The 15877-nt window shown below is 36.6% G+C and overlaps 1 protein-coding gene across 34 annotated transcripts in view; it reads left to right on the plus strand.

The window, feature by feature from the left end:
• PDK1 (pyruvate dehydrogenase kinase 1) overlaps nucleotides 1-15877 on the plus strand; it is a 168940-nt gene that overhangs the window by 14369 nt on the left and 138694 nt on the right. For all 34 annotated transcript variants that reach the window (NR_103731.1, XR_007076395.1, XR_007076402.1 and 31 more), the window contains one exon: nucleotides 985-1083. Coding sequence is in view for 10 of the 34 variants with exons in the window: in XM_011511343.3 (XP_011509645.1) it covers nucleotides 985-1083 (99 nt within the window). In the remaining 24 variants the exon portion in view is untranslated. The remainder of the gene's footprint in view (nucleotides 1-984; nucleotides 1084-15877) is intronic.

Raw genomic sequence — 15877 nt, forward strand, 5'->3', positions numbered from 1 at the left:
CTCACTCTGTTACCCAGGCTGTCCTTGAACTCCTGGCCTCAAGCAGTCCTGCCCCAGAGTGTTGGGATTACAGGCATAAACCACTGCACCTAGCCCTAAAATCTTTTTATCCAAGTAGTTAAACAAGTAGTGATGGGCACTTCAAGCATTAACACGAATTTTTTCCTTGAAATTCCAGTGGCATAAAGATCTTGTGCCCTATGATTGAGGCACTCCGTATTATATTGTACATAATGTCAGTAATAATGGCTTTCACCTGGAACCTAATCTTAACCTGCCTTTGGTGGAAATGATGGAATCTCCTCCATAAGAGGACTCAATCGCAATTGCTGTGCCAGGGCCACACACTCTTACTTCCAAATTCGGATGCCTTTTTAGTTACATCTAGTTTATATCATTTTCTACTGCAATGCTGAATGTCATGATATTGTTTAAGGCTTCTGATATGTTGGCACTGTGTACCCTATTTCCTTTAGAAATTAGTCAAAGCAGCTTTACAATGACAATACCCTTAATTTCAAACTAGAGATAAAGGGATTCATTGCTCCATCAAATACGACCATCGCTGTTACTACTATATGAAAAAAATTGCTTTCCTTTAAAGAAATTTATGACAGTTTTTTAAATAGTTCTAAAAATATAGCTGAAACTACATTTTCAAAAATGTTTTGCCCATCATTTACTAAAATTATAAAAGTGTTTGAACAGAGTTTTCTGCTTTAATGTAACTAGTTAAAAGTGTTTTGAAGTCTGACTTTGGAAAATAAGCAAAATTTAGTTGGAGTCTTTAGGTCAGAATATCCTTCAAATCCCCCCCAAATTGACTCCATTAAAAAAAAAACTTTAAATGTGGTTATAAGAATTGTGATTCTTTGGCATATTTCCATCAAATTTTAAAACTTCAAATAGTGCATATGTACTTGAAAATTACACTTTCTCTTTTCTAAAAAGCTGTATTTTTAATACAACCCTAATGTATTTCAGAATGCAATGAGAGCCACTATGGAACACCATGCCAACAGAGGTGTTTACCCCCCTATTCAAGTTCATGTCACGCTGGGTAATGAGGATTTGACTGTGAAGGTAAATGTGTTTAATGGTTTGTTTTCTTTTTTTTTTTTTTGTAATTGATGAACAGACATGCAAAGGTAACCATACGCATAATTTCTAAAAGACATAATCTACTCTCAGGGGAAAAGAATCTTGTCTGTAATAGATAATAAGCACATTGCTTCATTGAGCTGGTGGATTATAGTTATCCCTTGAGTCTTTTCTATGCAGGTCCCCCGTCGAGGTGATTCAAGTTAAAATAAATCTTGGAGACAGACAATTTATCATTAATATCTCTTTGATAAGTAAGATCTAAAATATTTGGGTAGTTGCAGTATTATGGAGATAGTATTTTATATATAATTTAAAAAATTTTAAAACAGTGCTTTCTAATCTACTGGTTTCATTTGATTCTCATGACGTAGGTAATTTTATCCTCACTTTTACAGGTGTGGAGACTAAGACACAGTGATTAGCTCAGGATCACACAGGGCAGAAATGCTATGGGACATGATATCCAGTCTTCTGTCCCCAGTGCTAGGCCTTTTCTATTACATTGTTCAGGTGGCCCAGTTTCTTCTTTTACATTTTATTAAAAATTGTTTTCTGTCACCCAGGCTGGAGTGCAGTGGTGTGATCATCACTCACTGTGACCTTGAACTCCTGGGCTCAAGCAATCCTCCTCCCATGGCTTCCAGAGTAACTGGGACTGCAGGCTGCAGGCATGCAAGCCTGGCTAATTAAAAGAATTTTTTGGTGGGTAGAGACTAGGTCTCACTTTGTTGCCCAGGCTGATCTCAAAACACCTGGCCTCAAGTGATCCTCCCACCTTGGCCTCCCAAAGCACTAGTATTACAGGTGTGAGCCACTGTGCATGGCTCCAGTTTAAGAGTATGATAGTGTTTTTCTTTTTTAATAATCATTTAAAAATTTATATTAAAGTAATAAATGCAGAGACTATAAAAATTCAAATGTGTCAGTTCCTGGCCCTTTGTAGGCCTCATTACTCAGAGATTCTTAGTCTTTCTTTACTTTTTTTTTTTTTTTTTTTTTTTTTTGAGATGGAGTCTTGCTCTGTTGCCCCAGGGTGGAATGCGGTAGTGTGATCTCGCCCACTGCAACCTCTGCCTCCTGAGTTCAAGTGATTCACCTGCCTCAGCCTCCCGAGTAGCTGGGATAACAGGCACCCGCCACCACGCCTAGCTAATTTTTTGTATTTTAGTAGAGACAGGGTTTCACCATATTGGCCAGGCTGGTCTCGAACTCGACCTCGTGTTATCCGCCTGCCTCGGCCTCCCGAAGTGCTGGGATTACAGGCATGAGCTACTGCACCTGGCCTAATGTTTACATTTTAAACAGTAAATATTACCTTTCTGTTATAGTAGTTGAGGAGTTAGCTCTCTTTAATAGAGCACCTGCTCCCCTCCCCTCCCCTAGCCCAAGGGCCAGTTTCCCTATACTATTATCCCAATATTTAAGTTTGTATATGAAATTCGAAGCTGAGAATAATCATCCTGCAAAATTTTGAAGGCATCCATTGTTCCTTTTTTAAAAAAGGTACAATTCAGTGGAATTCATAAGGTTATTCAAGTATTGCCGCTGTCTCATTTTAGAACATTTTCATCAGTCCTAAGAAAAAACCCAAGTACTCCGTCAGGCACAGCAGCTCATGCCTGTAATCCCAGCACTTTGGGAGGCCAAGTTGGGCAGATTGCCTGAGGTAAGGCGTTTAAGACCAGCCTGGCCAACATGGTGAAACCCCATCTCTACAAAAAATACAAAAAATTAGCTGGGTGTGGTGGCAGGCGCCTGTAATCCCAGCTATTCAGGAGGCTGAGGCACGAGAATCGCTTGAACCCAGCAGCAGAGGGTGCGGTGAGCCAAGATTGCACCACTGCACTCCAGCCTGGGTGACAGATTGAGACTCCATCTGAAAAAAAGAAAAAAAGGAAAATACGCAGTACCTATGAAGTCACTTCCCGTTTTTCTCTCTTCTAGCCCTTGGCAACCACTGATCTATTTTCTGTTTGTGTATTTCTCTTTCTGGGCATTTTATATAAATTTAATCATGCAGTATGTGGTCTTTTGTTACTGACTTCTTTCACTTAGTATAATGTTATAGTATGCATTTGTACTTCATTCCTTTTTATGACCAAATGATATTCTGTTATATGGATATAACACCTTTGGGTTATCCATTCATCAGTTGATAGACATTTGGTTTGTTTCTATTTTTTGGTTATTATAAATAATATGGCTATGAATGTTTGTGTACAAATTATTGTGTGAACATGTGTTTCAGTTATCTTATGTATATACCTAGGAATTGAATTGCTGAATCATAGGAAACTCTGTTTAACTTGAGAAACTGCCAAACTGTTTTCCAAAGGACCTGCACCATTTTGCATTGTCATCAACAATGTGTGAAGGTTCCTGTTTTACCTCGTCCTTGTCAACAATTGTAGTCTGTCTTTTTTATTATAGACATTATTGTGAGTGTGAAGTGGTATCTCAGTGTGGTTTTTATTTGCATTTGTCTAATGACTATGATGTTGAGCATCTTTTCATTTGCTGATCGGCCATTTGTGTATCTTTGAAGAAATGTAGATTAAGATCCTTTTTTCAGTTTTAAAATTGGCTGTCTTTTATTGTTGAGTTGTAACGGTTCTCTCTCATGTATATGTGTATATATATATAGGGATTCTATGTGTGTGTATATATATACACACACATACATATACATATATACATACATATGTGTATATATACGCATATATACATATATGTGTGTGTATATATATACACCCTATATATATTCTATTTGTGTGTATATATTCTATGTGTGTGTATATATATATACACTCTCTCTAGATATATATATATGTATATAGGGGTTACTAGTCCCTGATGAGATGTATGATTTGCAAGTATATTCTCCCATTCCGTGGGTTCTTTTCACTTTCTTGATAGTATCCTTTGAAGTACAAAGTTGTGTTTTTTTGTTTTTTGCTTTTTTAAATAGAGATGGGGTCTTGCTATGTTGCCCAGGCTGGTCTTGAACTCCTGAACTTAAGCAGTCCTCCCACCTTGGCCTCCCACAGTGCTGGGATTACAGGTGTGAGTCACCACACCCAGCCAAAGTTTTTAGTTTTGAAAATTTTCAATTTTTTTTTCACATTGCATGTGATTTCAGTTTTATGTCTAAGAAACCATTGCCTACTCCAAAGTCTTGACGACTTATGCCTATGTTTCTAAGAGTTTTATAGTTTTAGCTTTTATATTTAGGTCTTCGATCCATTTTGAGTTAAGTTTTGTACATGGTTTGAGGTAGAGGTTCATCTTCATTCTTTTGCATGTGGATATCCAGTTGTCCCAGTACTATTTGTGAAAAACCTATTCTTTCCCCATTCAATTGCCCTGTCACCCTTGTCAAAAATCAATTGCTCATAAATGTATGGGATTTATTTCTGGATTTTCAGTTCTATTTCATTGATGTATATATCTCTCGTTATGCAAGTACTTAATGCCTGTCTCAATGATTGTAGCTTTAAGTTTTGAAATTTGCAAGTGTGAGTCCTACAACTTCTTTTTCAAGATTATTTTGGCTGTTATGGGTTCTTGCATTTCCATGGGTTTTAGGATCAGCTTGTCAATTTCTGCAAAAAAACAATGCCAGCTAGAATTTTGATGGGCATCATTTGGGAAGTGTTGCCATCTTAGAGTTAACAATATTAACTCTTCTAATTCATGAATACAAGATATCTTTACACTTACAACACAGGGCATCTTTATAGGTCTTCTTTGCTTTCTTTCAATAATGTTTTGTGGTTTTTAGTGTACAAGTCTTGGACTTTTAAATTTATTCCTAAGTATTTTATTATTTTTGATGCTATTGTAATGGAATTGTTCTATTAATTCCATTTTTTGGATTGCTTATTGCTAGTGGATAGGAATATAACTGATTTTTTTGTACTGATCTTGTATCCTGCATCCTTGCCAAATGTCTTTATTAGTGCTAGTAAATTTTTGTGGATTACTTAGAATTTTCTATATAAATGATCATGTCTCTGCAAAAAGATGTAAGTGTGGCTAGAACCTCTAGTACAGTGTTGAATAGAAGTGCTGACAGGAGACATCCTTGTCTTTTTTCTGATACTAAGGGGGAGAACTTCTTGTCTTTCACTATTAAGTATGATGTTAGCTCTGATTTTTTTCATAGATACCCTTTATCAGATTGAGGAAATTTGCCTGTATTCTTAGTTTGAGTGTTTTTATCATGAAAGGATGTTCAATTTTGTCAAGTGCTTTTTCTGTGAAGATTGAAATGATTGTGTGGTTTGTTCTTTGTTCTATTAAGTAGTGTATTACATTGCTTTTTCTATATCAAACCAACCTTGCATTCTTGGGATAAGTCTCAATTTTTTTATGGTTTATGTTGTTTTGTTGAGGATTTTTACGTTGATGTTCATAAGGTATGTTTATTGGTCTGTAGTTTCTTGTGATGTGTTTGGTTTTAGTATCAGGATGACACTGGCCTTATAGAATGAGTAGGGAATTTCCCTCTCTTTCTACATTTTGGAAGAGTTTTTGAAGGATTGGTATTAATTCTTTCAGTGTTTGGTAGAACACAGCAGTGAAGACTTCTGGGCCTGAGCTTGTCTTTGTGGAAAGACTTTTGATTACTAGTTCAATCTCTATTTGTTATATATTCATATTTATGGATAGCTATTTATAAATATAAATAATAGGCCAGGCACGGTGGCTTAACGCTTGTAATCTCAGCACTTTGGGAAGCCAAGGCAGGTGGATCACCTGAGGTCAGGAGTTTGAGACTAGCCTGGCCAACATGGCAAAACTCCATCTCTACTAAAAATACAAAAATTAGCCAGGCACGGTGGTGCGTGCCTGTAATCCCAGCTACTCGAGAAGCTGAGGCAGGAGAATCACTTGAATCCGGGAGGCAGAGGTTGCAGTAAGCTAAGATTGTGCCATTGCTTTCTAGCCTGGGTGACAGATCAAGACTCTTTGTCTCAAATAATAATAATTAAATAAATAAATATAAACAATACATTTGATATCTATTTAGATTGTCCATTTCTTCCTGAGCTCCTGAGCTGTGTCTATAGTTTGTGTGTGTTTTTTTGTTTGTTTTTTGAGACAGAGTCTTGCTCTGTCGCCCAGGCTGGAGTGCAGTGGCAGGATCTTGGCTCACTACAAGCTCCGCCTCCCGAGTTCACGCCATTCTCCTGCCTCAGCCTCCCGAGTAGCTAGGACTGCAGGCACCCGCCACCATGCCTGGCTAATTTTTGTATTTTTAGTAGAGATGGGGTTTCACCGTGTTAGCCAGGATGGTTTCGATCTCCTGACCTCGTGATCCACCTGCCTCAGCCTCCCAAAGTTCTGGGATTACAGGCATGAGCCACCACGCCCAGCCTATAGTTTGTGTTTTTATAGGAATTTGTCCATTTCATTTAGGTTATCTAATTATTACACACAATTGTTCATAGTATTCCCTAATAATTCTTTTTATTTTTGTAAGATTGGTAGTGATGTCCCCACTTTCATTCCTGGTTTTATAAATTTGAGTCTTCTTTTTTTTTCTTGGTCAATATAGCTAAATACTTATCAATTTTGTTAATCTTTCTAAAGAACCAATTTTTTATTTCATTGATTTTCTCCATTTTTCTATTCTGTATTTCATTAATTACACTCTAGGCTTTATTATAATTTCCTTCCTTCTGCTTGCTGTGGTGTTATTTTGCTCCTGTTTTTCTAGTTTCTTAAGGTGGAAGTTTTGGTTATTCATTTGAGACATTTTACAACTATAATTTTACTTTAAGCACTGCTTTGTCTATCTTACAAGTTTTTAATGTTTTGTTTTCATTTTCATTCATCTCAAAGTATTTTCTAGTTTCCTTTTGGATTTTTCCCATTGGTTAATAGGATTGTGTTGTTTAATTGCCACATACTTGTGAATTTCCCATGTGTTCTCTTAATCATTTAAATTTCATTCTGTTGTGATTGGAAACATACTTTGTATGATTTCAAGTATACATCTATTGAGATTTGTTTTACAGCCTAACATAGGGTCTGTCTTGGAGAATGTTCCATGTGTACTTGAGAAAAGTGTGCATTCTGATGCTGTTGAATGTTCTACAGATAGCTATTAGGTTTAGTAGGTTTGCAGTGTTGTACAAGCTTGTCTTTCCTTGTTGATCTTGTAATTGTTATATCCATTGTTGAAAGTGGAGTATTGAAGTCATCTCCAATTATTGTTGAATTGTCTATTTCGCCCTTCAGTTCCATCAGTTTTGCTTCATGTATTTTGGAGCTCTGTTGAGTACATATATGTTTTTAATTATTATCTCTTTTTTGTGTATTAACCTTATATCATTAAAAAATGTACTATTTTGTCTCTTATAACAGTTTTTGTTTAAAAGTATATTTTGTTTGAAGTTAGTGTAACCATCCCAACTCTTTTTGTTTCTGTTTTCATAGTGTAACTTTCCAGACTTTTAGTTTAAACCTCTTTGTGCCTTTCAGTCTAAAATGTGTCTCTTTATAGCATACAGTTAGAATTTAAAACCATTCTGCCAATGTCCACCTTTTAATTGGAATGTTCAGATCAATTAAATTTAATATAATTACTATTAATGTAATTAACAGTAATTTTGGTTTATGTTTGCCGTTTTGTCTTCAATATATGTCATATCATTTTTTATTATTTCTCCATTATCACTGTCTTTTGTTAAAATATTTTGTATTATATCATTTTAATTTCGTTCTTGTTTTTGTTACTATATTTCTTTGAGTTTTTTAAGTAATTATCCTGGGGATTACAATTAACACCTTAATTTATAATCTAGTTCAGATTAATACCAATTTGCTTTCAATAGTATACACTGACTTTTCTCCTAAATAGGCCTTTTCCCCTCCCCACCCATCCTTTGTGCTGTTATTGTCATATAACATACATTTTTGTACATTGTGTGCCTGTCTACAGAGATTTATAATTATTGTTCTATTCAATTGTCTTTTAAATCAGATAGGACACAAAAAGAGTTACAAACAAAAAATATACTCATATTTTCCTTTAGATTTACTTTTGTAATAACTTTTACTGGCACTGTTTATTTCTAAACATGGATTCAATGTTTTGTCTAGTATCCTTTTGTTTCAGCCTGAAGGATTCCCTTTGGTATTTCTTGATAGCCCATGTCTGTCAGTGATCATCTCTCTCAGTTTTTGCTTATCTGGAAATGTCTTAATTTCTCCTTCATTTTTGAAGGATAGTTTTGCTGGTTATAGAATTCTTGTTGATAGTCTTTTTCTTTCAGCACTTTGGAATATGTTATCTCACTGCCTTCCAGCCTCCATGGTTTGGATGAGAAATCAGCTGTTACAATCTTATTGAATATTGCACATATGTGATGAGTCATTTCTCTGTTTCTCAGACTGGATAATTTCAATTGACCTGTCTTCACTCTCACTGATTCTTTTCTTTCACATGCTCAAATATGCTGTTGAACCCCTCTAGTGAAATTTTCATTTCGTTTATTTTTCATTTCATTTATTGTACTTCTCAATTCCAGAATTTCAACTTAGTTCTCTTATATAATATCTATCCTGTTTTTTTCACCTTTGCTAAATGTTGATGCATATCATTTTATTGCCCTATATTTTATTGTTGTATCGTTTAAAATTTTCTATTTTGAGACATCCTTATACTTTAGTTCTTTAGTGTTTGTTTACGGAGTGTGAGTTTACTGACTCAGGTATAGTTTATTGACTGATTTTTCCTTGCCTGTGTATGGGCAATACTTTTTTGTTTTTTTCATATCTTGTTATTTTTATAGAAAACTGGACATTTAAAATAATATATTTTGACAGCTCTGCAGATCAGATACTGCTGTCTCCCCAAGGCTGTCTTTGTTGTTGTTTTGTAATTTTTTTTTTTTTTGGAGTTAATTCTTTTAAGTTTGAATTCTTTGTTGTGTGTGGCTTCTGAAGTCTCTGCTCATTTAGCTTAGTGGTCAGCTAATGACTGGACTGAGATTTCCTCAAATACCTGGAATCAGTAAGTTTCCCAGTCTTTGCCAAGGGACTCTGTGTGTGTATAGAAGTGTTCAGGAGAATATCTTCAACACTCAGCCAGGCAGTTAACAACTGTGCCTTAACCTTTAGGTCCTGCTCGCATAGAGCAATTAGAGGTGAGAGCTTAGGGCCTTCTCAGTGTCTTTCCTGAGCATGACCCTGGGCATGAGTATGGCCTTCCAGATTCCCAGGAGATAGCTGAGGTTTTCAAAGCCCCTATGGCTATCTCATTCCCTAGACCTTCCTGTTAAGCTTTTTGGTTAGCCTTATTGTTTGCCCTAGCTGTTGTCCAGTTTCTTCTGCAGCCCTCAAATTAATCAGTTACTTCTAATTGTTTTTGACAGATGTTTCCAGGGATGGGGGTGGGGTGCAAGACTTTTGTACTGGGGAGCTCAGAGTCAGGTCAAATAAATACAGTCTTCCCAGCAGCTACCAGGCTGCTGGTTTCACTCTGATTGCATATTGATTGGAGGGAGGGGGAGCAGATGGGAGCAAGTTAAAATGCTTACTGTTCTTATACGGATTCAGTTGTTTTACTTGAATAAATGTTCCCCAGATTGCTGCATGCCTTTAGTTAATTTCCAGAATTCTGTCAAAGTAGATTCTAAATGATTTTTGCACCCCCCTCCCCCGCTCTTTCTTTTTTTTTTTTTTTTTGGTGCTTTGATAGAGGAGAGACTTTTGCAGGTTCTTTCTCTTCTATTTTTGCTGATGTCACTCCTGCTGTTCTTTTTGAGAAGACAACGTTTATTACAATTCCTCTTCCTTCTTATGTGACCAGTTTTAGGTGTCTACTTTTGTTTAACTAGAGTTTTTAACTTTTTTTTTTTTCTTTTTTTTAAGCTGTGCTCTGAAGTTTCAGTGATGTGACTTGGTGTGGGCCTTTTCTTACTTACTGGGCTGTGGTCTTTGAACTTCCCATTATTTTCTTGATATTTTCCTTTTCACTGTGTGTTTAGTCTCTTTCTGATAGTCATATTAAGAGGATGTTGGGCTTCATGACATCACTCCCTGTTTTTTATCGCTTCAACTTTTTATTCTATTCTGTGAGATTTCCTTGACTTCAGATTCCCAGCCCTTCTATTGAACTTTTATTTCCATTATCTTACAAATTTCCAAGAATCCTTATTTTTAAAATTAATCCCTTTTTAGAATTCTGCTCTAGTTTTATTTTATTGCTCTAAGGATATTATTTTTTTTTAATTAATTTGCCTCTGTACCCTGCATTGTCCGTTTCCTGAGTTTCCTTTTGTCCGTTTCTCTCTCGTTTGTTCATTTTAAAGAGATAGGCACAAAAAAGTCAATAAATGGCGATGCCATCTGTTTGCTGTAAAAACAATATGAATGTATCACTTTTTTTTTTTTTTTTTTAGCTCAGATGCTAATGTGTCTATTTTTTGGTTAGTTGTGTGTCAGCTACTTTCCCGTTAAGGTTTACAGTCAAGAAAAGACCCATTGGTCTTCTGGTTTGGGGCTTAAGTTGTGCTGCAGCATGTTCTTTCTTGTACCTTTTTCTGCTTCTATTAGAAGTGCTTTATTTAGCATTTTGGTCTGCAGCTGCTTTCTATTGCTATTATCCGTCATTGCATAGATCAAGGTTTACTGAGTTCTTAGACTCTCAGAAGAGATTACTTCTGTGCTGGTGGATGGGCTTAACCTCAGGAATCTGTCTTTATGATGTAAAGAAAAATTCATAATGACCCAGCAATCCTACTCCTATGTCTATACCTCAAAGGATTGAGAATATTTAGGCAAAACCTTACACACAAATACTCATAGTGGCACTATTCACAATAGTGTACAGGTAGAAACAACCCAAATATCTATCAGCTAATGAATGGATAAACAAAATGTGGTATGTCCATACAGTGGAATATTATTTGGCCACAAAAGGAATGAAATACTGATAAATGCTACAAACTGGTTGTTGTAACATTGAAGACATTATGCTAAGTGAAAGAAGCCAATCACAAAAGGCCACATATTATATGATATTATTTACATGAAATGTCCAGAATAGGCAAATATATAGGGACAGAAAGTAGATTAGTGGTTGCCTAGGGATATGACCACTAAAGGAGCTAGGGTTTCTTTTGGAGGTGATGAAAAATTCTAAAATTGACAGTGGTAATGGTTGCACATATCGATGAATATATTAAAAACCATTCAATTATATACTTTAAGTGCATTAATTATATGGTATATAAATTATTTTTATCTTTTTTGAGATGGAGTCTCCCTCTGTTGCCCAGGCTGGAGTGCGGTGGCATGATCTCAGCTTGCTGCAAGCTCCGCCTCCCAGGTTCAAGCGATTCTCCTGCCTCAGTCCCTAGTAGCTGGGACTACAGGCGCCTGCTACCACACCTGGCTAATTCTTGTATTTTTAGTAGAGATGGGGTTTCACCTTGTTGGCCAGGCTGGTCTCGAACTGCTGACCTCAAGTGATCCGTCTGCCTCCGCCTCCCAAAGTGCTGGGATTACAGGCATGAGCCACTGCGTCCAGCCTGCTATGTAAATTATATCTGAATAAAGCTGTTTAAAATAAAATAGGCTTGTAAAGGTCTCAAAAAAGAGTGTTCTAGAAGCCTGCTATGTTAATTATATTTGAATAAAGCTGTTTAAAATAAAATAGAAAGGCTTGTAAAGGTCTCAAAAAGACTGTTCTAGAAGTCCTGTCTGTATTAGGCTCTGCCTTCACCTGTTGTTTCTGCTCCTCACATCCAAGGTCACATGAAGGCATCTCCTCTTGCAGCCTCTCTTTACATGTTGAATTCTTGCTTTTTCTTCAGTCGAGCTTTGATCCCCATTACTTACCCTAGACTTTTAGAATCAAGGCTTGGTTTTGTTTCTTCCCCATTTTTTTTAGCTTGTTCAAATTATTGACATTTTTTACCTTTTATCCTCTTGCTAAAAATCCTATACAAAAGTTGTTGTTTCTGTCTTACAGCCCTAGCTGCTCTTTCAATTCTGTGTTTAGTATATAATCTATAAATAACCTATGTGTTATAGCCACATGTCTTTTTTTTGTGTGTGTGTGTTTTTTTATAGATGGAGTGTTATTCTGTTACCCAGGCTGGAATGCAGTGGCAGAATCTCAGCTCACCATGACCTCTCTTTCCCGGGTTCAAGCAATTCTCCTGTCTCAGCCTCCCGAGTAGTGGGGATTACAGGCACGCACCACCATACCTGACTAATTTTTGTATTTTTAGTAGAGACAGAGTTTCACCATGTTGGCCAGGCTGGTCTTGGAACTCCTGACCTCAAGTGATCTGACCACCTCAGACTCCCAAAGTGCTGGGATTACAGGTATGAGCCACAGCGCCTGGCCTACATGTCATTTAAATTAAAACTTAAATGTCTTGGTTCATTTACTGTTGATGATTTTACAGACTTAACAGTGAAAACGCTGTTGGCTAAGAAACTTTAGGAACTCTGGGTGAATACAGGGAATGTCCTGGCTTTAGAGCTGTCATCTAGTCAGTAGTGGTTCATTTCATCTGGGCCTAGAGTTCACATGAATTAACCTAGGGAGCCTAGTGTTACTGGGAATAGGAAGTTAGGGATGGCAGCTCTTGGTTAGATGACATTGACAAGTGGTGCTTTTGTGCACTGAAGAGAAAACTTTAAAAATAATTGGCAAACTTCTCTTCCTTGGCCTTCCTGTTGACATTACTTATCTCATTATCTTAATAAGGTTTCGTGTTAGTTTTCACATCTCTCTTTCAATACATTTGTCATCAAAGGTACCATTCTTCTTGCCTTGAATATATACAGACTAAATATCTGTCTCTCCATTATTCCCTCCCTCCCTTTTCCTGAAGAACTTGGATCCTCCAATAATCTATTACTGCTCTTTTGGAAACTCTTTTGCCTACTTTAAAATCCACTGGCTCCAGTTTATTGTATTGTTGGCTGCAAAGCAAAGTACTACTTTGACTGTAGTTTCTAACTCTATTCCTGTGGCTTAGTTTGCCCTTTACCTCTAGCAACATGATGCTTCTCACATCCTCTCTGTCCTGTCTGCTTATCCCCTCTTATTTTCCCATGCAGCCTGAGGCTGGAAATGACTTCTTATTTTGTACTTGCTAGGTTGTTGTTACAGTCTCCGTGGCCAAAAGGTTAAGGAAAACCAGGAAATATTTACTCAAGTCTACCTTTTTATCTTAGTATCTATTCTAATATGTTCTTTACTCCCTTCATGTATTTATAGAATACACATACTTCCTATTCATGTTAACTAGCAAATGTGCAGCAGAGCATTGAATTAAAGGATGAGTAATTAACAAATTGATGGATTTCTCAAAATACCCAGAGCTCTTTATTCATCTTACTAAAATAAATTACTTTACAGGGCCAAGAGCAATTTCAAGCATAATGCTGCATAAAAGTTTTCTGGTTTTTTTTTTTTTTTTTTTTTTTTTTTTTTTACTGAGCAGAGTCTCGCTCTGTCACCCAGGCTAGAGTGCAGTGGTACAACCTTGGCTCACTGCAACCTCCTCCTGGATTCAAGAGATTCTTGTGCCTCAGCCTCCCGAGTAGCTGAGATTACAGGCGTGCACCATGACGCCTGACTAATTTTTGTATTTTTAGTAGAGACAGGGTTTTGCCATGTTGGCCAGGCTGGTCTCGAACTGCTGACCTCAAGTGATTCGCCGGCCTTGCCTCCCAAAGTGCTGGGTTTATAGGTGTAAGCCACCACACCCAGCCACAAGTTCCTAATAAAGTCCTTGTATACTTTATTATTGATAGTGTAATTACTTAATTTTAGATGTATTCGAGGCACATCTTTCAATGGTATTTCAAGGCAGATTTTTTTAGTTATAAAAATCAAAATATCTACATAATTACCATTATAAAGGTAATATATATATACTGTAACAATTTTTAAATATATAAAAACTCAACTATAAGCCATTCAGCCTATTGACTTTTAATACATATTATTCAGTACTATTTTAATCTATATATACATAAATTAAAAGCAGATTTGTTTGTGTATGACAACTATATTGTTATAGGCAGTAAAATCAATTCAGATTCTGTGACAAAGGAAAATGGCTGTAGTAGATTAGAATATAAGCTGGATAGTAGCTAGGAAAATAAGTCCATGTTAACTTTGAAGGAAAAGAAAAATTGTATGTAAATAAATTACTAAATTTGATTTGCCATACTGTTTGAGTTGAAAAATGATATGAAAATGTAAAGACCTACATGCCTTACGAACATATCAGAAAGTTTTCTGGGGTTCTAGGCTGTAAAATTGCTGGTAGATGGAAATACAAAGTAGTGGTTCTGTCTTTTTCTCCCTGAAAATGAAAATTATACTGTTTTTTTCCTGTTAAAGTAATTGTGAAGAAAATTCAGAAACTGAAAACCCCAAACAAGAAGAGAAAATTACTCATTCTACAGACAATAAAATTAGATATCATTTCAGACCTTTTTATAATAGAATTTTTGCAGAGTATTATAAATGCTTCTTTGTAACTGTTTTTTTTTTGTTTGTTGGTTGGTTTTTTTTGCTGCTTAACTATCTCTTATGCCAGTATATGGAGTTCTATATAATATCTAATTAATGGTTAACAATATTCTATTTTAGAATGTACTTTCTTTTACTTAACTAATCCCCTATTTAGGTTGTTTACTTTTAGGTATTCTGCATAGAGCTGTGATGGATGTTCTCATATATACTTTGCATGCTTTTCTGCTTATTTTCTCAGGATAAATTTCTGGAAGTGACATTGTTGTGTGAAAGGTACATGCTTTTTTTTTTTTTTTTTTTTTTAAATAGAGGCAGGGTTTTATTCTGTCACCCAGGTTGGAGTACAGTGGTGAGATCATAGCTCACTACAGCCTCGAACTCCTGGGCTGAAGTGATCCTCCTGCCTCAGCCTCCCAAGTAGTTGGGGATTACAGGCATGCACTACCACATCTGGGTAATTTTAAAGTTTTTTTTTTTTTTTTTTTTGTACAAACGGAGTCTCACTATACTGCCCAGGCTGGTCTGGAACTGCTGGGCCCAAGTGATCCCCCTGTTATGGCCTCCCAAAGTGTTGGGATTATATGTGTGAGCCACCAGACCCACCCAATATATGCTTTTCTTTTTTTGTTTGTTTTTGTTTTCTTAATTTAGAGACAGTGGCTCCCTCTGTCACTCAGGCTGGAGTACAGTGGTGCCATCATACCTCACTATAGCCTCCACCTCCTGGGCTCAAGTGATACTCCTTCCTCAGCCTCCCAAGTAGCTGGGATCACAGTTGTATGCCACCATGCCCAGCTAATTTTAGAAAATTTTTTGTAGCGATGGGGTCTTACTCTGTTGTGCAGGCTGATCTCAAACTCCTGGCTTCAAGTGATTCTCTTGTCTCAGTCACCCAAAGTGTTGAGATCACAAGCGTGAATCACCATGCCCAGCCTAGTACATGCATTTTTAATTTTTTTTTTTTTTTTTTTTTTTTTTTGAGAAGGAGTCTTGCTCTGTCACCCACGCTGGAGTGCAGTGGTACGATCTTGGCTCACTGTGACCTCCATCTCCTGGGTTCAAGCAATTGTTCTGCCTCAGCCTCCCAAGTAGCTGGGACTACAGGCATGTGCCACCACACCTGGCTAATTGTTATATTTTTAGTAGAGATGGGGTTTCGCTGTGTGGGCCAAACTGGTCTTGAACTCCTGACCTCAAGTGATTCACCCATCTCTGCCTTCCAAAGTGCTGGGATTACAGGTGTGCATGTTTAAT

The sequence above is a fragment of the Homo sapiens genome, chromosome 2, assembly GCF_000001405.40.
Source record: "Homo sapiens chromosome 2, GRCh38.p14 Primary Assembly".
In the NCBI taxonomy this organism is placed as follows: Eukaryota; Metazoa; Chordata; class Mammalia; order Primates; family Hominidae; genus Homo; species Homo sapiens.